Source organism: Homo sapiens, chromosome 11, assembly GCF_000001405.40.
Source record: "Homo sapiens chromosome 11, GRCh38.p14 Primary Assembly".
Classification (NCBI taxonomy): domain Eukaryota; kingdom Metazoa; phylum Chordata; class Mammalia; order Primates; family Hominidae; genus Homo; species Homo sapiens.
The window spans coordinates 79,425,703-79,449,354 of NC_000011.10; the positions used below are offsets into that span (position 1 = coordinate 79,425,703).

The 23,652-nt window shown below is 45.6% G+C and overlaps 1 protein-coding gene across 5 annotated transcripts in view, besides 2 other annotated features; it reads right to left on the reverse strand.

Moving 5' to 3' along the window:
• TENM4 (teneurin transmembrane protein 4) overlaps window positions 1-15,328 on the reverse strand; it is a 788,202-nt gene extending 772,874 nt beyond the window's left edge. For all 5 annotated transcript variants that reach the window (XM_047426739.1, XM_047426737.1, XM_047426736.1 and 2 more), the window contains exon 1: window positions 14,807-15,328. The gene's annotated coding sequence lies outside the window, so the exon portion shown is untranslated. The remainder of the gene's footprint in view (window positions 1-14,806) is intronic.
• Window positions 14,917-15,026: a silencer, noted in NCBI's record as "silent region_3814". NCBI's record gives its function as "represses an Ori minimal core promoter by ATAC-STARR-seq in GM12878 lymphoblastoid cells {active_cell/tissue: GM12878}" and the evidence as "EXISTENCE:reporter gene assay evidence [ECO:0000049][PMID:35858748]".
• Window positions 15,287-15,456: a silencer, noted in NCBI's record as "silent region_3815". NCBI's record gives its function as "represses an Ori minimal core promoter by ATAC-STARR-seq in GM12878 lymphoblastoid cells {active_cell/tissue: GM12878}" and the evidence as "EXISTENCE:reporter gene assay evidence [ECO:0000049][PMID:35858748]".

A 23,652-nucleotide genomic window follows, 5' to 3' on the forward strand; every position in this document is an offset into this window, starting at 1 on the left:
AGGACCTGCTCACGTGGCCTTGGCTCCCATCCCTCTGGTATAAGCTCTGTGACATCTCTTTGGTCTCTGCCTGCCTGCCTGCCTCTGGGGTCCACTTCTGAACAAGTGAATTTAATTCCATGATTATTGAGGGGAAAGAACAGTGAGACATGTGATGACAACAGATCAAGAAATAACAACCATAAGAGTGAACAAGGCAACATTTTGACTTGAAAAGTTCTAGGAATGTGCTGTAAATTATAGGTGTGTGCCCACACACCTGTGCACAAACATGTGCCAAAATGTGGGGGTCTTTCAGAAACCTACTTTGAGGCCTTGAGACCATCACCCACACTCTGGTCTAGAATGAATTTCCCCACACTATTTCCCACCTTCAGGAGTAGGCTATGAAAGGAGTATCTCCTTCCAAAATTAATTCTTGAAACAAGGCTTTGTTCATCAGTGCAGGCAGATGTGAGAAGAGGATACATATCTTCTATTAAAAATGTTAGCTAACAAGTTCAGATGACATCAAAAGATGGTGTGTATCTTGTTCCTCCCACCAGGTATAAGATATTCAAGTTCCCCATCCCCTCCATGGCTCATGAACTTACAACCAGCACCTCCTGGAGAGGAACATTTGCTTTACGGACAGGTGGATGTCTGTAGGGGACCCTGGCTCCCTGACTCACTGGTAGAGTGACCTCAGGCAAGATGTCTAACCTCATTGAGTCCCTGTTGCCCCTCTGGAAAATGGGAACTAACAAGACCTTACTCAGCTCCATGTGAATAAATGCGATAATATAGGCCAAATGCCTCACACAATTCAACAAAGAGGATCCTGTGATCATCCAGATGAGAGAAGATCGGAGTGAACCCAGGTGGTAGCAGTGGAGAGCATGAAGAGTGGTCCGCTGTGAGGTTATGGCTGGAAAGCAGAGCCAATATGATTTCCTGACGGCTGAGCTATAAGGTATGAAAACAAAAACAGGAGTCAAAGATGACTCCAAAATTTGAGGCCTGTGAACCAGAAGGACGGAGTTACCATTAGCTGAGCTAGGAAGGATTGCCAGTAAAGCAGGTCTTTCAGGGAAGATGAGTTTCGGATGTGTTAGGTGTGAGACACATATGAGATTATTCAAATAAAAATAGCAAGGAGGCAGTTGGATATATGAATCTAGAATTTGATAGACACAGTATTGGTACCTTTCATTCCCCTTTTCTTCTCTCCTTTAAAACTGCAGATACCTTCACAGATCCAGGAAGCAAGATATGGCCTAGATCAATCTTAATGACCTAGTGACCATCTACCCCTGTGTGATGCAGTTCAGCACACATGAACCAGGAGGTGAAGTGGCAGAGGGGGCTGTCTGCTCAGGGCTTCTCCAGTGCCACCATGGTACCCTGGTGACACAAAATGGGAATGATGAAACTCCCTACACAACACAAGAATGATGAAAACTTCCCTGGTCAAACTACTACCAGACTAGAGGGACCCTGGTCTTGGTTCCATGCTTCCACAGGCCCATCACGGATCAGCACATTGTCAGAAGCTTTAAAAAGCTGCATTATCTTTGACCTAGAAATTTCAAGTAAAGAAATTGGACTGAAGAAAATAAACAGACAACTACATGAAAATGTTGATCTCAGCATTATTTATGGTGGTGAGAAATGGAATACAACAATAGAAAATTAGTTAAATAAATAATGGTATATCCTTATGAGGGAATACTACATAGCTATTAAACATCATGTTGGAGGAAAAATTAATGGAACGGGGAAACGATCGTGATAGATTAAGGTTGCAAAACAATGTGTGTAATGTGCTCCAAATTATGGTGGGAGAGGGTAGTGGTGAGAATTAGGATTTTACATAGAAACAATACTGGAAAGAAAATCAAAAGGTTAGGAGAAACTACCTCTCCATGGCAAGATTATGGGTTCTTTTTCTTGTTCTCTGTGTTATCTTAGGTTTCCTAAATTTTCTGTTGTTTATATGCATTATTGTCATAATCAGAAGAAAACCACATTAAACAAAAACATAATAAAGGTTATAAAATTTTCAAAGTAATACTTATCCTAGTAATAAAAATCACTGCCTATTCCACAAGGTGCCATGAGGCTTAATGTGCTTGAAGATATAAAAGAAGCCTGGAGAGTATAACATAATACGTGGAACTGGAATCTTTCCACGGCATGATGATAATGGCCACTATTTACTCTGTCTACTTCACACTACAATTGCCTCCACTGAGGCTACAACAATACTGACAAACGGTTGCACAAAACTGACAGATTCCATTCACTCAATGACAGTCTGCATCTGATGCTCCTGGACCTAAGAAGACAGAAGGGAGAAAGCAGAAGCAGGAAGGAAGACCAAGGTCTTAGAGCTCTGCTAAGCCAAGTGTGGCCTTAGACTGGCGGCATCAACATCTCCTGGAAGCTTGTCAGAAATGCAGGAGCTGAGGCCCATGCTCCCACCCACTGAATCAGAACTTGCATTTCAATAAGTTCTCAGATGGTACCTATGCACATTAAATGTTAAAAGCCCTCTCCAAAATACAACACATTTCCCCAGTTTGAGGTGGGTTTGAGAAGATCTCAAGAAAAAATCAGACCGCTGAGTAGAAGTACTTCTCAACCAAAAATTTATTGTCTAAGAGATGTAAAATCACCAAATCATGCATAAGTGAAGAGCCTCCAGGCCTTTGGGTCATGCTAAGTCTCTGTCACTAACCCTGGAAAGCTATTATCATCTGATAAGCATTTTATAGGATGTGGACAGAAATCAAGCATTCTCTCTTCCACTTGAAGAATGCTGAGGCCTTGCCAGCTTGGTGGAGGGTTGTGCATGAATGGTTAATGGGGCACAGCCCAGAAGTGAACAGAAAAGAAACAAAAGTAGGTCAAAGGACTATCATGACATCTCCAGGCAAGGGCCAGGCATTTCCCAGCACTCAGAAGGCAGCTGTGTTGGAATCAGAAGAGGACAGGCTGAGTAAGAAGGCCACTTTTCTGACCCAAATGCCCCAGTTTGCCAAAAACGAGGGCAGGGGTGGGAAAGAAACCTTGATTACCATATCTGCAGTCCCATGGCTCAAACAAATTAGGTCACTCACCTCGTACATAAATTACTCAATATAAGATCCCTTTATGCTGCTTTGAAAATGGAGGAGACTAACATTCAGTAAGGCTGTATTCTATGCAGCATTTCTCAAGCCTGCTGTACCTTAGAATCACCTGGGCAGCTTTACAGAGTTCTGATGACTAGTTCCCACCTGGAACAGTTGTAGAGCAATCTGTGGTGGGGGCATGGTGCTAGTCTTTGGTAAAAAGCACCTAGGTGATTCTAATGCACCGCCAGGGTCAAGTAACTCTAAATCTAGTGCCTGACAGCAGCTCAGAGAAACAGGTGTAATATCATTCTCATTTTTAACATGATCAAGCTGGTGCAAGGTGGCAAAGAAACAGAGCTGGAATTTGAGCCAGGATCTGCTGTCTCAATCTAGAGCCCTTTGGTTTTTCTATGTCTACAGGCAACTTTATTTTCAGGGGACAAGAAAGCTAGGGGTCCTCTCAGAGTCTGACCTGAAATAACCTGCAATAGACTCCTATAGAACCTCCCTCTATTCACATCCTTCCCCCTCCCGCCTCCTCCCCAATAAACACCTGCACTCGCCACCGGACTGTGCTGACAGGGTCCAGAAGCAGGAGCCAGCGGACCAGCAGCTGAGAGGTGGGGAGATAGTGGGGAAAAGAGCAATGCCAGGAGCTACCATTCACATAGACAGTGATTATCAGGCACTACCCAAGCTACTTCGTGAATCCCACAACAACCCTTGGAGGTAGACACTTCTATTTTCTATTTTCTAACTGAAAAAAAAAAATGATGGAAGCATAGACAATCCAAGGAACTTGCTTGAATGCATACAGCTAGTAGGTAGCAAAGCAGAGAATTCAACCCAAAACCTGTTGGCATTTTTTCACTGTCTTATATGGCCTTAGTCTTATATGGACTTAACTGCAATATATGGGAGAACCATCAGTAGCAGAGAAAAATGAAGCAGTGACTTAGTGGTACCTCAATAAATTACTTCTAAAGCTTTGGAAATAATGGTGCTGATTCAAGGATGGCAAGGACTCACAACACTGTCACAAAGATTACTGCATGATAATCCTACCAACAACCCTGCCAAAGACTTATTATTATCCCAATGTTATGGAAAAGAAAACTATGGCACACAGACATTAAGTAATTTGACCAAGGTCCCACAGATAGAAAGTGTGAGAACTGGGAGTTGTAGCTGATGACAAATTTAGTGCCTCTTTCAAGCCACCAAGAGGTGAAATTTGGGAGGAGACCTTGTTTCAAGGTGGCAAAAAGTGAGCTGAACCACTAGTGAGCAGTTTACATTCTTCCTGGAATGTGGCTTGGCTGCTGTCACTTAGCAGCGTTGGGCTACTTTTTTAGTTAGGCATGTTTGTTTCAATCATTCAACCTGCGAAAAAAAAAAAAAGAAAAAAGAAAAAAAAAAGGAATGTCTGCTTTATTTATTCCTTGAGAGGAACAAGTAGCAAGGCTGGGAAATGTTGAGGGGTTAATGGCACCACAATGAACTGCAGCCCAGGGAAACCAATAAGCAAAATACAATGGCCCAGATGGGAACAGAACTTCCAAACCTGTACCAGAGAGAGCATAAGACTCAGAGTCAGCCAGACATCTGTCCAGGTCCTGAGCCTGCCATTCACAAGCCCTTATGGCAGGGGTCATGTTGAGTAACCACCTGATGCCTACTCTCCCTCTTCTGGAGAGTGATGATCCTACAATCTCAAGAGAGTGGCACAAGCACAAAAGGAGTGTACATTCTAAAGGGTGCTGCACCCCAGGCATGGAAGACATTTGCATTTTTATTTACCCATATGTGCCAGATGTCCCACTGAAGTGAGCACAATCCACACAGCCATGAGATATGGGGTAGATTCTATTGCTTCCCTCTTTATAGATGAGGACATTGAGGAACAGAAGGGTCGCCCAAGGTCCCATGGCAAGGAGGTGATGATGGTTCAGGGTCTGAATCTAGTTCTTTCCATCTTTGAAGTTGATGTCTTCTGCAATACCCCATGCTGCTCAGTCAGAATCACCTACTACATGTAGAAATGTACTTAAATGGCCATAAAGAGAATTCAGTTTTAACATTAGAAAGAACATCTAGGCCTTGAAGGCAGACAAACTCTAGAATAGATAAGCCAGAAGTTCCAAACGTGCTAGAAAAAACAGATTAGGAGCAGCTAGGAGTCTCTGAGGCATTCTATAGCAGAAAGAGCACAGGGACGCACCGTTGCCAATTTTCTTAGGTTAGTTCAATTAATAAATTAAATAAATAAATAAAACACAAAACTTAATAAAGAAAAAAGTCGAAACAATCTTCCCCAAACCATCAAAAATTCTATTAATTCATAAGCTACTACTCAGTACTTTATTTCTCTAGTCCTGCTTCAACAAATATCTACTTTTAAAAATACTTTTGGGGTTTAGCAGTATAGTGTTTAGTATTTTTTAAACATAATTTTTATCATGGCATTTTCCCTTGTCACAAAACACATTTTCAAAACAATACGTAATCTTTGAATAATATTCCGCTGCTAGGCTTGGCCACATTTTACTTATTCCACCCAATTGTTTACCTTTTTCCTCTCTTTTATAAATAACACTGCAATGAACATTTTTATTCTTAAATTTTCTCTGCCCATCTCTGATTATTTTCTTTGGCTAGATTCCTAGAATCAGAATACTGGACTAAACGGAATAAGTGTTCCGAAGTCTACTGACAGTTACTGCCAAATTGCTTACCTAAAAGGGTATATTAATTTGCATTTCAACCAGCAGCAAAGGAGAGTACCTGTCTCCCAGCACCCTCTCCAGGATCCAACACTGCCTTAAAAATAATCTCAGCTAGTAAGACAAGTGAAAAATAGCAGCATGAATCAGCATAGAGCATTCAAATAGTCTGCCTGTAGTCATACATCATTTAAATAGTCATCTACCTGTAGTCATACATTCAGTACGTGGCATACCCAGGAAATGAACCCAGTCCTCTAGCTCCAGAAGCTGGGTCCCTAACCATTAGCCCAAAGAACTTAACCACAACTTGAATTACTCAGTAGTTGCCATGTGTCAGCTATTGTTTTAGGAAATTTTACATTGGAGTTCACAATGGCAAGGATCCTTGCATTTTTTTTTAATCCCAACCTTAATCGAATGTCTTACAATGATAGAAATGTTCTATAACTGCACTGTCGAGTATGGCAGCCACTAACCACATGTGGCTGTTGAGCACTTGAAATCTGGCTAGTGCAACCAAGGAAATAAATGATTAGTTTTGTTTCATTTTAATTAAATTTAGTTTAAAATGTGACTAGTGACTACTATATTGCATAGAATAGCTCTAGATTATCTAGTGCATTGCTCAATAAATATTTATGAAGTAAAAAACTTACATGGTCTTCTAATTCCACCTACTTCTACCACATTTCTTTCAAGGCAAGAGCTGCCTTCTTCCTCCCTCATCTCTGTGTGTCCATTTGTTTTCTCCAATGCAACGTGAATGCTATTTATCTGTCATGTGGGATGATGTGAGGGTCAGCTAATTAATGTTTGCAAAGAGCTGCATTGCTGACTGGTTCTCAGAATAATTGCACATTAATAAAACGTTTAAATGATCAGTTCTCATCCTGAGGTCAAAGCAGAGCTGGGTTTATTTAGTAAAAAGCTGGTTTCTCTGACTCACCCTGAACTGGATCCTTTCACTGTGGACCTCATCAATACAAGCCCTTCACATTTAAAAGTTTTTTACCGAACAGAAGATACTGAAATTTACCTTCACAATAGTTTTGATGTCACAGTTTGATGAGTAAATTAATAATACAAACAAGGTTGGGGAGGGTGGATATTTAACCAACTTGAACAAATTGCTTTTAAGCTCTTAAGCACTTTAATTGCTTGCATGATAATGATGCAAATTTTTACATGTCTCGATCCACTTTCAAAGTAGGCCCAGAAAAAGGACCTCTAAAGGGAAACACTTTGCTAAATTATCAGTTTGAATTACATGGCATATTCTCGAAAGTTACAAAGTTGCCATTCTAGGAGAAACAAGGATTTAGGAGCCAGAGAGGCCTACCATCAAATGCTAGTTCTAGTGGTGTGACCCTGGGCTCAGCCTTACTGAGCTTCAGTTTCTCTGACACACAGAAAGCATTGAGTATGTGTTCGTTTTGTTCTTGCCTCATTTTCCATCTCCTATAGGATCACAGGATGAGAGGACTGATGCTGCCCCTCTGCACTTTATTTCCACTGTTTGTGGAAATAAAGATTATTCCCCAAATCTAAAATGAAAGAATGGGCACATCCCTTTATAGTGTCATTCTACAAATATAAGCAACTCCTCTTGACATCCAGGGGTCATGATTATGACTTTCTGAAATAAAGTCAGAGCAGTAGATAGCTTGAAATCTTGCTACTCCATGTGTGGACAATGGACCAGGAGCATGGCAGCACCTGGGAGCTGGCGAAAAATGCAGATTCTTGGGCCCCTCCCCAGACCAAATGAAGTAGAATCTGCATCTTAACAAGATCCCAGAACTAGGGGTGTGCACATTAGAGTTTGAGATTGCACTAACTTAACAAGACATGGAAACCACTCTCTTCTCCCAAACCAATTTTATAGTGAGGAAAACTGGCATCAGGAATTGGCAAGGTTTACCCCAGGCCATAAATGTACTAACTGCAACCCTTTTGTTTGACTTTCAAAGGGTGCAAGACCAGCCTTTCAGAAATCAACACTCATCCCACAGCGAGAAAAATCGACTTTCAAAGAAAAACATTCTTAAAACCTAATGTTCTTAAGGATTTTAATGATTAACCAATTGCCTCTGATACCCTTTTGCACTATTGGGTGAGGCTACAGTGATGCCATTGTGTAAAGCCAGTGCAGAACACACAGGGAAAGGGAACCGGGGTGCTGACCACTGCTCTGGAGATCCCATATGGCCTGTTTCCTTTCTGTTTTCCAAATGAAAGAAAAGCTCTGATTTGATGTTCAGAACATGACAAAGAACAGAAACACCCCTTCACCTTCCCTAGTGAAACTAGAGTGGCATAAGTATCAAAGCAGCATCTAAACCGTTGTCTGAAGTCAGAGTCAGCAACCAACAGAGCGGGCTCCCTCTGTGGTGACCACACCGTGAAACAATCCTGAGGTGACCTCTCTACCTGATCTAAAGGAACTCCTCATGTCTCCTGCTGAGCATGGGGGCACCTTGGAAATGGGAGGACTGGACTTCCCCCACTGGTTCCACTGAATTCTTTGTCAGATGACTAGCTATCTAACTACAGGGAACACATCTTTTCTGGTCACAGAAATCCCACACTTGAGAAGGGGTAACGGCAAAAGCACCCTCTGATTGATTGAACCATGCAAAGAGGGGACAAGATGCCTAACAATTTCCACTTTCAAAATAGCATGTAGGCATGTTGATTGATTGATTGATTGGGCCCTGGAACTGTGAAGGGAGACTCCGTGGGGTTGATTTTTCCTAGTAAAATGCCATACAGCAGGTGGAGATAAGCTTGCTGTGGGGTAGAGTCTCAACTGTTTGCTTTGTAAGATCTCCCAGGCCAGTTTAAGGCCTCTGAACCAAAGGGAAGGAGAAAGGTGGGAGGGGGAAATCCACAGCCTCAGCAAATGCTGAAGACACACACTCTTCTCGGAGGAACTATTTGTCATTCACCATGGAGCCAGCCCCACCTACAACGCTGAGGAACATATTTACATATTTCAACTCCATTGCTGGCTGAAGCACTCCAGAAAGTGATGATTCCAAGAGCCAGGGAAGAAAAATGTTCTTGGAAAAAGAATTTGTGTATCAGTTCAGCAGAACAGCTCAAAATTATGCAAATTCCCTGCTTGAAGTTTGACTGTCACCCCTGCCTTCTTCTACCACCTGGGCTTCCAAGCCTGTAAGGGACTGCAAAATAAATAGCCATATTCTGGTTAAAAAGATGAAAGAGACATCATGGTTTACCTAACTGCTTTTCATGTGTGACAGAAGCTTTAGTATGGTATCTGCCTTTAACCCTGAAATGCTACTTTCTAGGAATTCATCTTAAGGAAATACTAAAACTACACAGTATGTACAAGGATGGTTACTACAGTCTTGTTATGATAATAAAAAAAAATAAACACAAAGTCAAAAAATTAGGTACTCATTAAATTATATCTGTCATACTATAACATTGGGGGTCTATGTAGCATTACAAATGTCACCGTAGGAGGAAAAGAGAGCATGAAAAGTTTTGCATGCTTTATCATTAGATGAAAATAAGCATTCAAAACACTATACTAGGATCTCATCATTTTTTCTACATTCATAAAGTCACAAGGTACAACCCAAAATGTGGTGGAACATTTTGGCTTTGCTTTTCTCTGTAATGCCTGAATTTGCTACAGTGAGCACATATTACTTTGGTCATTAGAATAAAGACTGTAAAAGAAAAAAAAAGTAATAAATATATAACCCCGGAAGCAATAGGCACATATATCTACATGGCTTCATTAGACATTTTCCATACAGAGAACATTCAGGGATCCATGTTTGCTTGGCTCCCTGAGAACTGGGGCATATTACTTTCAAAGTGGCCCCCACAGCCCATCTGCCAGTGCAAAGCAAAGATGGAGTGATTCAGCTTTCAGTTACAATAAAAGCCAAGCTGATAGACCATGTAAGAAGGCAGGTAGAAATCGGCCCCTTAGATCTAGAATTGACATTGATTTACCCTGCTAGGCTCTTGGAATCAAATCTGCAAGGAGGTGATTTAAATCCTATTCTTCTTTTGTTTAACTTTTTAGATTAATGGATGTGGGAGAAGTTACTGGGACAGGAACTACAAAAGGTTTGGGCTGGGGCTGTGTAGCTGTTTGTTAGACCAGGACAGGGGCTGAGAACCCCGGGCGGAGACTTGCACCACTGGTGCTTATCAAGTCTCATTTTCCTTCAACCTCTAGCACAATTAGAGTGTGAGCTGGCATCTTAAATTGAGTCTTTTGCTTGTGTTGCCCAACAATCTTTAATTCCTAATCACCTTCTTTTCCCTTATTTGTAACTTTTGATTTGGAAATATCGGGTTATGTAACATGTCAATCTGCATGAGGATGCAACTCTGTCAGAAAAAGGGACTCAATGAAGCACAAATTCTAACAAAACTGGAAATGACTTTCCTAAGAAAAGAAAAGAAATTTTCATTTCACGCATTTGAAGCTGGTTTTAAATAGGCTGGATGCAAGGTTGGTGGTTCTTTCGGGGCTGTTGATTTCTCTGCCCAATCTCCACCCAACAAATGCAGGATGCTTCCTGGAAGGGGATAAGGAGGTAGAAAGGAACAAGCATCTGTGAAGGGACCACAGTATGCCAGAGGCCTTATCGATGTTAAAACTGACAGTGTTCAATAATATGAAAGATTTAAAAAGATGAGGAAATGTTCTAGGTTAAAAGAGTTTAAAGAGACATGAAAAGCTGAATGAACTCATAAGCCAGGATTTTCTATTGCTATAACGGACGTTATTGGGACAATTGGAAAAATCTGAATAAAGTTTATAGACTGGATCATAAAAAAAAACCCTGACAGTGTTGCAAACTAAGTAATATTGTGCCATTTTACAGGGGAGAGGACTGAAGCTCCAAAGACAATTTGCCTAAGGCCACAGAGCCATGATTCCAACCCAATAGTTAAGAGATTAAAGTCACATCCTATCACCTTACTCCCACAAAACCACAAAAGATTGAGGAGACTATACCAAATAGAATCAGATTCTATTGGAAGAGAGTCCGTGGGAACCCATTACTCTAACACCTAGCCTTCTACCTCATATTCCAGGTCACTCCACTCACTATAGAACTATCCTTTGATGGTTCTTGTTCAGACCAAGCACTAGTTCTGCCCGTTGGCATCCGCACTGGTCAAGGCCGGTCTATTAGGGTGGCTGATCCGCTTACCGCACCACTCTACCTCCACCCCCAAACAGAGGCCTTGATGAAAACAAGATGAGAGCAGAGGAAGAACCCAAGAACTCTTTCTAGAAAACCAAAGCTCTCCGTCCCTGATCCCTTCCCCCACCACAGAAGATGGCAATTCCACAAGCCTTCCGCACCCTGCCCTCCCCTCAGTTCAAGACACATGCTGGAAATAAAAGCTTCCCCGAATTAGCCCCCTAAAAGCACACAAACATCTATGCCCTAAGTCCTGGCTGAATATCTTGAGGACTTTCAGTTCCCCAAACATTTCCAAGGACCTACGGCACACAGGTGCCGCTAAAGGAGACACCCGTTCACTCCAGGCAATCAGCTCCAACAGGTCCAGTTCCACTAAGTGGAAGGGCTTCCCGTCAACACCCTCACCGGAGAAAACGGATTCCTCCTCAGCATTCCCTTATAACACCTGGAAAGGGGAAACCTGTTTTTTGTGCTATGTGTGACTTCGCTGCAAATCTCTCTGCTCCCCAACACATGCACACACACACACACAGGCGCGCAGAAAACTAGTTCCCACTGTCACCACCAGTGAAAACACCCCTCGTAACTTTGACGAGAAGGGCTCCCCCGCTGAAAGCCCAACTGCAGAGCGCCCGGAGCGCGCTGTGAGTCCGCAGGAACGCGGCCGGGCCGGGGACGGGAGAAAGGCGCGGCCGGGACCCTGCACTGTGCCGCGCGGCGCTTGCGGCTGGAACTTGGCCTGGAACGCGGTCTTCTCGGCTCCAGTTTCCCGCCCAGGCCCCGCCCACCCGGCCGCCCCGCTGGTTCGCACCGCTGCTCCGGCCACCGAGGAGCCCAAAGTTGGCGGCGTCCCGCGGACTCCGGCGGAGAGCGCGAGGGAGTCGCGGCCGACTCCTGTACCACGAAGACAACTGGAGGCCGGCGGGGGAGGCGGGCCACGAGGGGCTGGGGCGAGGGAGCTGGGATGCGCGGGCCCGGCTCGCCGGGAAACAGGTTGCCGCGGAGTCCCGTCCCCTCCCCCTCTGCGGTCCCCGCCGCGACCTGATTCCCGCCCTGCCCGGGGAGCTAACCCAGCCGCCTCCGGGGCGCCCTCCTTCTTCCTGGATTCCCACGGCTGGACCAGAGCCCCTCTGGCAGCCGGGTTAAAGGCTCCTTCAGCAAGGTCAAGGCGCGGCCGGCTGGCACCTGGGGATTTTTTTCCAGCCGAGCACTGGCTTTTCAATCGCATTGTTAAGGATCATGGCAGCGGCAGGAAATCCGAAGGGCCCCACAGGTCTGCGGGAGGGAGGATTTATTTTACAGCAAGGAACAGATTCAGACAGATCGGGGATTTCAGTGGGAGGGGACGAGAGGTTTCAGGACGCTGGAATGTGGCAAAAACAAAACACTCCCCACCCATGCACATCACCATCTCCTGACTGCGGGCTGGGGGGAAGGGAGTTCAGGGCCAATGTGTCCCAGACTTCAGCGTTCCCCACGGCTGTGTCAGGGCTGGGGTGGCTTATCCCCCTACAGACGAAAATCAAGATTTAAAAGCATACTCTTACTGTGGTTTCTCTATCAAAGCCCATCAACGTGATACACAGGCTGCGGCGCTGGAGGGAAGCGGCGAAACGGGGAGAATAAACGCAACAGAAGCAAACTGCTGTCTGCAGAGGCGAGAGGCGAAGGAACGGAAGCCATACCCGACCCCAGCCCCATCCCGTCCCCATCAGCGCCGGGCTAGCGCAGGAAACCAGGAATAGGTGTAGGTAAGGGTGGCAGCCCGGCAGAGCCAGCGTTCTACTCCCTCTAACCCCTCGCCAGCGTGGGCCTGGATGGCTGGGCTGCCTGGGCATCTCCAAGGGGGACCAGGCACCGCGGGCAGGTTTCTAAACACGTGAAGGGCACAGGGCTTGAAAGACAAGGAGGGGCGCCCAGGAAGGGCGGAAAAGAGGGGCTTTGGGGCTCCCCAGGACACCAAGTCAGTTTCTGAAAACGGCGTTCCCTGGAAGGCCTTCCAACACCTCCGAGGGAAGACTTGGAGCTCTGAAGACCCAATGAAACCTCAGTTCTGACTGACTCCTCCTCTGCGATCAATTCCGGATGCCCCCACTTAGTCCCTGCCTCGGTAACCGGTTCTTTGGGGACAGCAGCATCAGCACCCGACGCCCATCGCACAAGTGGGCGCCGTGGTGCGAGGCGTATCCTAGCTACCCAGGCCGGGGTGGGGGCGCCCCGGTACTTACACTCCCCAAGCAGGCAAACTTTCAGGCTTGTCTTTCGAGAACCGGGAGCTCGCATCACAGTTCCGGGTAATCACCGAGGCAGCTTATGTAATTGCCCGCGATGCCGCTCAGCAGATCTCTCTCCTTACTCGGCCTCAGAGCTCAGTACATGGGCACCCTCTTCCCCCCACCCCCCACCCCGGCGATTGGAATCCCGAGCTTGCCCCACCACCGCCTTCTACAAAGCAGCGGGGTGATCTCGTGTGCTACAAACACCAAGCCAGTATGCAGGTTCAGGCAAAACTCTGGCTGCCTCCCTGCGCCCCTTTCACTGCGTCGATGGTTTACAGATAACTGCATTTCTATAAACCCTCTCTCCACGGTTAGGGGGTGGGAGGGAGTTAGAGATCGGGTGGGGGCTTGGCGCGGTACTGTTGAGGGCTCTGCACCCAACTGAGCAGTAATACACTCATCCACATGGACGCGGGTGCATAAATCGCCTTAACATTTTGCCCTGAAAGCGGAGCCAATTTCCAAAGTTAAGGACCACGCAGCTGAATTTCCAGTACTTTCCAACCTCGCCTAGGCGGGGGCAGGCAGAGAAGGGGCGGGCAGCGGGCAGCTAACTCGCCCGACCCCCCCGCCAAGAAGGACTCACTAGGTGAACCCCCCGCCCTTCACCCAAGTAGTTGGTTGTGTATTCCTCGGTTGCGTGTGTGTGTCCACACACACACACACACACACACACACACGCCGCCCCACTACCTTCCAGTCTGCTCCTCCAATGTAACGACCGCATTTAAAAATGGCAATTAAAATGACTGAGGAGCTCGGTGATCACATTTCAACCCAGAGCACATTTCCCGAAGCTGGGGGTGAGAGTAGTCATACAGTCACACTCACACCCGGGAGCCCTCCAAGCGTCCATCTGGCGGCTGCAGCCTCAGTTGGCTCCTAGACGAACATCAATACCGCGGCCGGGCGCCCGGTGAGGAGAGGCGGGCGCCCCGCGGGTTGCAGAGGGCGAGGAGCTGGGGTCGCATCTCCAGGATCTGAGCTCCAACCACCGCCCGTGCGGGGCTGCTGCAGCCGGCACTTGCCCCGCAGGGCAGGCTGCAGCCGCTGAAGCCCGGCGCCGCCTCGCGGGCTCCTCCAGCGCCCGACGGGGGCCTGGGGCGAGCTAGTCTGCAGAGGGGCTGCAGGCGACCGGGCCGGGGCGGGGAACGGGATCCGGGAGAGGCAGACGAACCTGGGGCGCGCCGCCTCCCTCCCACCCGCTTCCCACCTCCCTGCCCTCCCCCAACCCTTGCTCCCAGGCTCCAGTCCGCGGCGGGCTCCGGGGGCTGCGGCGGCTCCAGGCTCCAGAACAGCTTGCCTCTTCGGCCACCCGCGCCCTAGCCTCCCTCCTCCTGGGCCAGGGGAGCAAGCAAACATCTCCCGGAGCCCTCGGCAGCCGCGTGAGCTACCCGAACCCTGCCCGGGCCAGCAGTGCAGAGGGCGATGGAGCTGGCGAGGCGTCGCCGCGGTCCCCAAGGCGCTTTTCCGTAGAGCGGATCACGCCGCCTTACCGTGGCTGCAGGCTGCTACCGCCGGGGAAGCGGCGAGGACGGCGGCAGGGAGGCAAGGCGCCGCGCCGGTGGCTCCTCTCTCTCTCGGCGGCGCGGCTCCTCTGCTCCGCGAGCCGTAGCGGGGCGCCCAGGAAGGAGCAGGTCCGGGCTCTGCGCTCAGCTCCAGCGAGACCAACAATAGCTCCCGCGGGGAGCGGAGCCCCAGCGAGCCTCCAGCCGCGCGCGCACGACCGGCTCCCGCTCCCGGCCGCTCCCGGCCGGCGTCCCTGCCAGCACTGCTGCCCCACATGAAACAGCTGCAATCCCGAGGCTTCTGGGGGGTTGGGGCGGGTGTGTGCGCGCGCGTGTGTGAGTGTGTGTGTGTGTGTGTGTGTTTAATAGCTTCCCTTCTCTTCTTCCCCTCCCTGCCTGCTCGCCTGCCTGCCTCCGTCCCCCACCCTCGCTCTCTTACACACAGAAAGAGAGGGCGAGCGAGAGAGAGACACACACACACACGCACACGCACACGCAGGTTACATGAATGGGAGGCGGTAGCCAATCCTACGAGGCCGGCGAGCCGCGCGGCGCACTGGCGCTGGGAGCAGGGCCGCACTCCGGCGCGGGGGGGCGCCACGCAGGTGATGGGCGCCTCTCCGGGGGCCACGCGCGGCCGCTCCCTCACCCCAGTCTCGGTTCCTCTGTCTCCTTCCCCCTTCCTCTCCGCCGCCTTCTCCATCTTCTCTCCTTTTACCTCCTTTGCTTTCTCGAGTTCTCCGAGCTCTCTCAGTTCGGTATCTTTCTGGTCTCTTTCTTCTTTTACCCTCCTTGCTTGCTTTCTCTTCCCCTTTCTGAAACTTTCTCTTTTCCTTTCTGGACTTTCTTGTACTTCCTCTCCTCTTGCCTTTTGTTCTTTCCTCCTCCTTTGGCTTTCTCTCCAGGCTCCCCGTAGCACGGTCTCGTCCCCTCTCCCTCCTCTTCGCCTTTCCCTGGGTCTCTCTGGCGCCCAGGGCCTCCCTTCTGCCTGCTCGCTGGATGTTACTCCACACCCCCCACCCCAACACTTTTCTAGGGACGGTCTCTTTCAAGTTGCTACTGCAGCACAATCAGAGTAATTAAGAGCTGAGATCTTGAGTTCCTTCTTCAGGCATGCAAGATGCCCAAAGAAAGGCCCTCCTTCCTCGGACAACTTCCCCAAAACCATGGTAACAGCTACTGAGTCGTGATAACAATCACTTAAAAAATAGCAGTGATTGCGGTCCAAGAGATTTCTGTCCCTCGAATGTTTGGATCGTGATGGCAAGCACATTTCCAAGAGAAGGGCATTTTTATGTGATGAGAGCGGTAGTTTGACTGAGTGGCAACTTGGAAGGGCTTTGGGGAAGAGACTGGAGGAATTCCCACTCCAGCCCTGCTGCCTGCTGGCTAAAGGACTTAGTGCGAGCCATTTCCCCTTACCCGGCTTCAGTTTTCTCATCTATAAAATGGATGATACCGACTTCACCAGTTTTGGTGAGGATTAAAAGAGAGAACAATGGAAAGAAAGCACTGGGTGTATATGAGATGCTTAATTTATGTTAGTTTCCTTCTTTAAGACAACTTCCTTCATGATCTTCTGCTACAGTGTGTCTCTCTGATCTAAAGTAGTCAATGAAGGAGGAAATGTGACAATGCTAATTTCACATAAATGTGAAAGGAGGGGTAGGCTATTTTGAAAACTCTTCTGTGTGGTGAGGAGACTGTCTAGCCAGTTGCCATATGCTGATTATAAAGGCATCACAGATTATAAACGTGGGGTGCTGGAATGCCCCTTCAACATCTCATAACTAGGGCATCTCAGAAAGGCAGGGATGGGTTGGGGTGGGTGGGAAGTTTCCACACAATCTGTCCAATCTATTTTTAAAATCTTTATGATAAGTGTACAGTGACCAGTGACAAAGCCTCTGAGATTAACTAAAATGTCAAGTCTCTGCCTTTGAATAGCATTTATCAACTTTGTGTCCTCACTGCAGACATCAAATGCTGGGCATCAGCTGTGATTGGCAGTTAGATTTAGTCCTTCAACAAATATTTCTTGACCACCTACTTTGTGGCAGGTGCTGTGATAGGTCTCGGCATTCAGTGGTGAGACAAACAGGCCCTGTTTTCTGAGCTTACAGTTCAGTAGGCATGTTTCATGAATGTACACTGAGAAAATGAGACACATGTACCTGAAGGAGTAACATTGGTTTGGTGGACAAATTCTTTCATTACAGAAGATCCAAGACAGGGAGTATAAGAAAGGGATCTTTGAGAGTGATAATTTTGCAAATCACTTTCAGTCTATGCATTTCATTTGACCAGTGAGAAAAATGAGACCCAGATGCTAAAAGTAGTGGGTGAAAGTATGTTGAGAAACAAAAAATATATATAGGTTCAAAGTATCTGCCCACATGATACTGATTAATTTCAAAGGGGAAAATAGTAACTTTTCAATAGAAAACCTGAAAGACTCCACCTTGAGTGATTAAAATCAGTATTAGCAGGAATGTGACAAATAGACATCAAGTGGCCCCTGATATAGTGCACTGGGAAGGACATATCACTTCTGTGATATTCCTGGTAGACATGAATAACCTGAATCTAATCATGAGGGATGCCCAATGGAATTGTTGGGAGTAAGGGAAGACTTCCCATAGGAGATGACAGGTTCTCACTCTGTCATCCAGGCTGGAGTGCAGTGGTGCCATCTTGGTTCACTGAAGCCTCAACCTCCTGAGCTCAGGTGATCCTCCCACCTCAGCCTCTTGAGTAGCTGGGACCACAGGCATGTGCCACCACACCACGCCAAACTAATTTTATTTGTTTGTTTGTTTGTTTTACAGATGAGGTCTCACTATGTTGCCCAGGCTGGTCTCAAATACCATCAATCCTCTGCCCTAGGCTTCCCAGAGTGCTGGGATTATAGGTGTGAGCTACCATACCTGGCCTTGAGCTGAGTTTTGAAGGCAAGGAATTAGCTAGACCGTGAAAGGAGGGGAGATGCTTTTTAGGTACAGGCAATAGTATGATGACATGGACAAAAGCATGAGACACTCATAGCAGAGTTGGACATATTGGGGGAGGGTCTTGGAGGAGTCTAGATGAGTCCCTAGCATCTAGGATTGGATTTTGACAGGGCCTGAAGGAGGCTAAGGATCCAAACATCCTGAAAGTTCAGGTACTGGGGCAGAAGGAGGGTAGACAGTTAATAAAGGCTTTTAAGAAGAGGAAGGATGTGATCTTGAGTGTGTTTTCAAAAGATGATTTGGCAGCAGTGTAGAGAAATGGATTAACTGGGGTGACTTAGGAAGAGTAGAGGCAGGAAAAAGTAGGTCATTTAGGGAAACTAAGGCAGTTGCAATGAAGCCAGAAAAGGGAGGAGAGATTTGAGAGAGATTGAGGATGATTTTGATTTCTGATTGGATGGGGGTAGCAAGGAGAAGCCCAAAGTGACACTCAGTTTTCAAGCTTGGGTATCTCAATAGAAGGTGGTACTACTCATTGCGATGTCAAGAGTATTCAGGAGGAAGTAGAATTCAGGGAGCATTTTAGAGGGGGGAAAAAAGGTCAGTTGCTACCATGTTATAATCTAACTCTATAGCTAACCGGAGATTCTCCTATATGGCTGCTCTGTGCCATAGGAAACACTAGTTGTAAAATTCAGCCTAAGACCTCCAAACAGCCAGCTCTACGTATTGCCCAGAAAAACAGGAGATTGGATATAATGACAGTACATTATTTGTAATAATGGGAAAAAAATTGAAGCAGCCTAAATGGTCAAATAAAATAAGTAAACTGGAGGACAGCCTTTGTTGGAATATTATGCAGCTACTCGAAAGTGTTTTTGCAGTTTTTCGTGCCATAAAAAAGTTAGTATTGTCATATATAATATTTTAAAAGAGAATTCAAAATTGTTAGCTACATAAAAACCCTCTTGCAGAAAAGTCTGAAGAAAAAAATGCCAAATATTAACCGTGTTTTCTTCTGGGTGATGGGGTTATGAGTAATATATATTTTCTTCTTTATACTTTTTCTGGCATTTTATAATCTTCCTACTATAAACATTCATTATTCCATTATAAAAACTTTTTAAAGCTGCCATTAAAAAAACACAAAGACATGGCTATGATCATTCCCCCTCCCCTGACTTTATCCCTTTTCAATCCACCGTTCCCACTCCCCCTGAAGAGTAACTGCGTTTTGAGTTTTATCTCTGAGAGTGAAATAAGGAGGCATTTAACAAATCAGGGGAAATTAGTAGCTGGGCTAGAGAGGGGGAGAGGGCATTCTTATGGAGGCAGATACATTATGAGAGCTGTTGAAACTGTATATATTAAAGATGTTTGCATTGCCCTTATTGATTCTGTGATATGTTACAAGCAAAAGAAAACATATAGTGGGGTCAAGAAAATGTGAGTCTTTAAAGGGCAAGTTTTAATTAGCAAATGTATTTATTTGCAAAAAAAAAATCCTTCCCTTCAGAGTCCAGCTGTTACTATAAAATTGTTTCAGGGAGTAAGTACTTCAAAGCAAGAAGACACTGAGGAGCAAGAGGCAATGCCTCATGCCTGTTGTCTGACACCACATCAAATATGCAAGTTGGTTACTTAGGATTTGGACACCTACTGATAAATGCCATCAAACTTCCATAATTAGAGGGTGAGAAAAGTGCCTGCCAGAGGATAGTCTCAGTCTTTGGAAAAGTTGCTGTAAATAGTTCCCTGGTGAGGTTACATCTGCATCTCTGATTTTCGTCTCACAGAAATATTTACCCTGTGGGTAATTTCCCCAACCTAATAATAATAACACCTTACACAGCATAGCCCTTTCACCTTTTCAAAGGGCCTCCGCATCTGTTGATTGACTCAATCCTTGTACCCACGCCTGCTGGAATCCTACTTCCAGTGTGCACCAAGAGGAAGAGGGACCCAGAGAGGTTCAAACAAAGAGGCAGAGCAGGGGCTAGAACTAAAAGAAGGAATAAGAGACATTCTTGAAGAGCCTTCTGTGTGGCCCTGGAGCTTCCACGGTGTGTTATCACATAGAATTGTGATAACTAGAGGGGGAGAGTGAACACACTGAGGCTTGTGAGGTTCTGGCTCAGCCGAATCAGAATCAGAATCCAGCTCTCCAGAACTCCCAAGCCACTTGCCTTTCCCAGCATAGCCCCATTTTTAAAAGCCAAGAGGTGAGGCTGGTGGTGATTTTCTGTCTGACTGACTCCATTTAATCTGTGAGCTGTCTTTCTGTGAGGTTTGTCTAACCTGTGAGTTGTCTTTCTGTCTTATAGGTATTAGAAGCTAGTGTTTGGGGATTTGGTGATTAACAATGACTTTTGAATTATCTCATAGAAAATAAGGGGAAAGCCTCTGCTTGGGTTCACCATACATATTCCCTAAAAGGGAAATGATTGGAGCTTGTCCTCCATTTCACCCCTCATCCTGAAATGTTTAGCAAAGTACTGGCACTTACAGGTTCTTAGTAAATATTCCTTCACTGAGTGAAGAAATGAATGCTAATAACAACAATAGCTAGCATGCATTGAGCATTTTGCCAGGGGATGAGCAAAAGGCATTATCTTATTTAAATTGTAATGCTATACTTTGTGGTAGATATAATTATTATCCCTAATCCATGGGTCAGAAAACTGAGAAGTTAAGCAAATTATACAGTCACATAACTAATAAATGGCAAGGCCAAAGTCCACCTTGGATTGTTCTCAGCTACCACACTTTATTGGATGGATGGATGGATGGATGGACAGATACAATTAATAATACCAGCAGTGCACCGGGCATGGTGCCTCAGGTCTGTAATCCCAGCACTTTGGGAGGCTGAGGTGGGTGGATCACCTGAGGTCAGGAGTTCGAGACCAGCCTGACCAACATGGAGAAACACCATCTCTACTAAAAATACAAAATTAGCCAGGTGTGGTGGCCCACGCCTATAATCCCAGCTACTCGGGAGGCTGAGGCAGGAGAATCTCTTGAACCTGGGAGGCAGAGGTTGTGGTGAGCCAAGACTGTGCCATTGCACTCCAGCCTGGGCAACAAGAGCGAAACTCCATCTCAAATAATAATAATAATAATACTAGCAGTGAAGTGAGCTCTGCATGAACGGCAATACATTTTATGGTATGGCTAATCTTGTCCATTACTCTATATGGTTGCACCCTGTTTATTTCCTTCATGGTATATTTTAGAAGCTGCAGTTACTTGTTTCTGCATTCATTTTACTTTTTAAATCTGCCCAACTGCAATCAATATGAGTTTCATAAGTGGAGTGACCAGGAGTATCTTGTTCACTGTTGTGATCCCCAGCACCTAGCACAGTGCTTGCCACAAAGTAAGTGTTCAATAAATATTTCTAAAATGAATGAATGAATGTGGGCTCCCCTCCTTCCTAAGCAGTGGAATGCCTGTGAACATATATATACCTATGCACTGTTGATAGGGGGTATTTTACACAAACTTACTCCATCTCCATGCCAACGGTATACTTTCTGCCTTTGAAGGCATATGATTTGGGCAGTGGGGCTCAAATTCAGATGAGCCTGTAATGGTTCTGATGTCAGATTGTACTCCTCCACTGACATTTGCTCCCAGATAGCAGGGAAAACACTGATCAGAAAATAGCAGCATCTGTTGTGGTCAAAGGTAACGAGCTGGCAAAACTCCGTGGTGGAAGCATCCCCCTGATTAGGTCAGCCTCCACTCTCACAACAGAGAGGAAGTGTATCAGCTGACATTGCTTGCATAATGTTTCTTTCTGAGGGCTGGTCTCCTCAAAAAGAGCTCTCCTAAAGCATTCTCCTGCATGCTTAATGCCATGTGATGCTCTCCAAAAGGGATGCGCCAATTTTTTGTCCTATCTCTTCCCATCATTTGCCTAACAGACTTCCTTGCCACTCATGTGGATTTGCTTTTTTCATGCATCAGGTGACAGGTGCTAGTCCTCTGCAAAAGTAAATTACATCCATTTCTTAGTCTTACAATTCTGCAGCCTTCATTAGATCTGCATATTTGTCCAGACGACCATGGGTGAGGTAATCAAGAATGAAACAGACAGAATAAACAAAAGAGCCTCCACTAAATGACCAAAGTCTCTGTAGGGTGATTCTAATGATGGTCATGTAAATGACGTGTCAGACACTGACCTAAAGCCTTACACATATTCATACATTTAATCCTTACAACAACCCTAGAAAATCAATTCTTTACTACTCCCAAACCAGACTGCAATTCAGTACTTCAAGGCCTTATCAATCTGTAGGACAATTAGGACTTATACACTGTTCTGTTTTGCACATTATATTTTTCATGTATAATATATCTTAAAAATAGTTCTATCCATCTAAATATAAATAGGTGTATATATGTGTATAATACCTTGGAAATTGGTGTATTACTTTTCATACTTGCATATGTTTTAAAAGACATTTGACTTTTTCATCGATTCATAATAATTGTACATATTTATGGAGAACATGTGATATTTTGAAACATGCATGCAATATGTGATGATCAAATCAGGGTATTTAGGATAATTCATCACGTCATTTATCATTTATTTGTGTTGAGAACATTTCAGATCTTCTAGCTATTTTGAAATATAAACTCAATGGGCTGAGTGCAGTGGCTCACACCTATAATCCCAGCACTTTGGGAGGCTGAGGAGGGTGGATCACTTGAGGCCAAGAGTTCAAGACCAGCCTGGCCAACATGGCAAAACCCCATCTCTACTAAAAATAAAAAAATTAGCTAGGCGTGGTGGTGGGTGCCTGTAGTCCCAGCTACTCAGGAGGCTGAGGCAGGAGAATTGCTCGAGGGAGGCAGAGAATGCAGTGAGCTGAGATCATGCCTCTGCACTCCAGTCTGGGCAACTGAGTGAGACTCTGTCTCAAAAAACAGAAAAGAAAAGAAATCTACACGAAATTATGGTTTACTGTAGCCACCCTACTGTGCTATGAAGCACTGGAATTTATTACTTCTATCTAACCGTATGTTTGTATCCATTAACCAGCCTCTCTTCACCCCAACCTCCAATGCTTCCCAGACTCTAGTAACTATTGTTCTACTTTCTGCCTCCATGAGATCATTTTTTTGGCTCCTACATATGAATGAGAACATGAGACATTTGTTTTTCTGGGCCTGGTTTATTTTACTTAACATAATGATCTCCAGTTCCATCCACATTGCTGCTAAATGACAGGATTTCATTCTTTTTTATGACTGAATAGTATTCCATTGTGTATATATACCACATTTTCTTTACCTGTTCATCTGTGGATGGAGAGATAAGTTGATTTCATGTTTTGGCTATTGTGAATAGTGCTGCAATACACATGGGGGTGCAGGCATTCCTTTGATATGCTGATTTCTTTTTCTTTGGAGAAATACCCAGTAGTGGGATTGCTGGATCATATGGTAATTCTATTTTTAGTTTTGTTGTTGAGAAACCTCCATACTGTTGTCAAAGCAAACTAAATATGGTCTGAGAAGGACTCCATACTTCCATACTTGAGTCCTCATGGACGAACGTAACCTAACTTAACAGGTAGACAAGATTGAAAGCCTAACTTAGGAGTAAGCGCCTATAGCAATAGCTGAGTCTTGGCAAATCCCAGCAGCCACACTTCAACCACTCATACACAGCTGAATGTTCAAACTGTGTTCAAATAAGACAAACTCCAAACTGTAACCATCCAGCTGTTTCTGTACCTCACTTCTGATTTCTGTAGGTCACTTCCCTTTTTTTGGTCTATAAATTTGTTCTGACCACGAGGCACCTATGGAGTCTCTCTGAATCTGCTGTGATTCTGGGGCCTGCCCGATTTGCAAATCATTCAT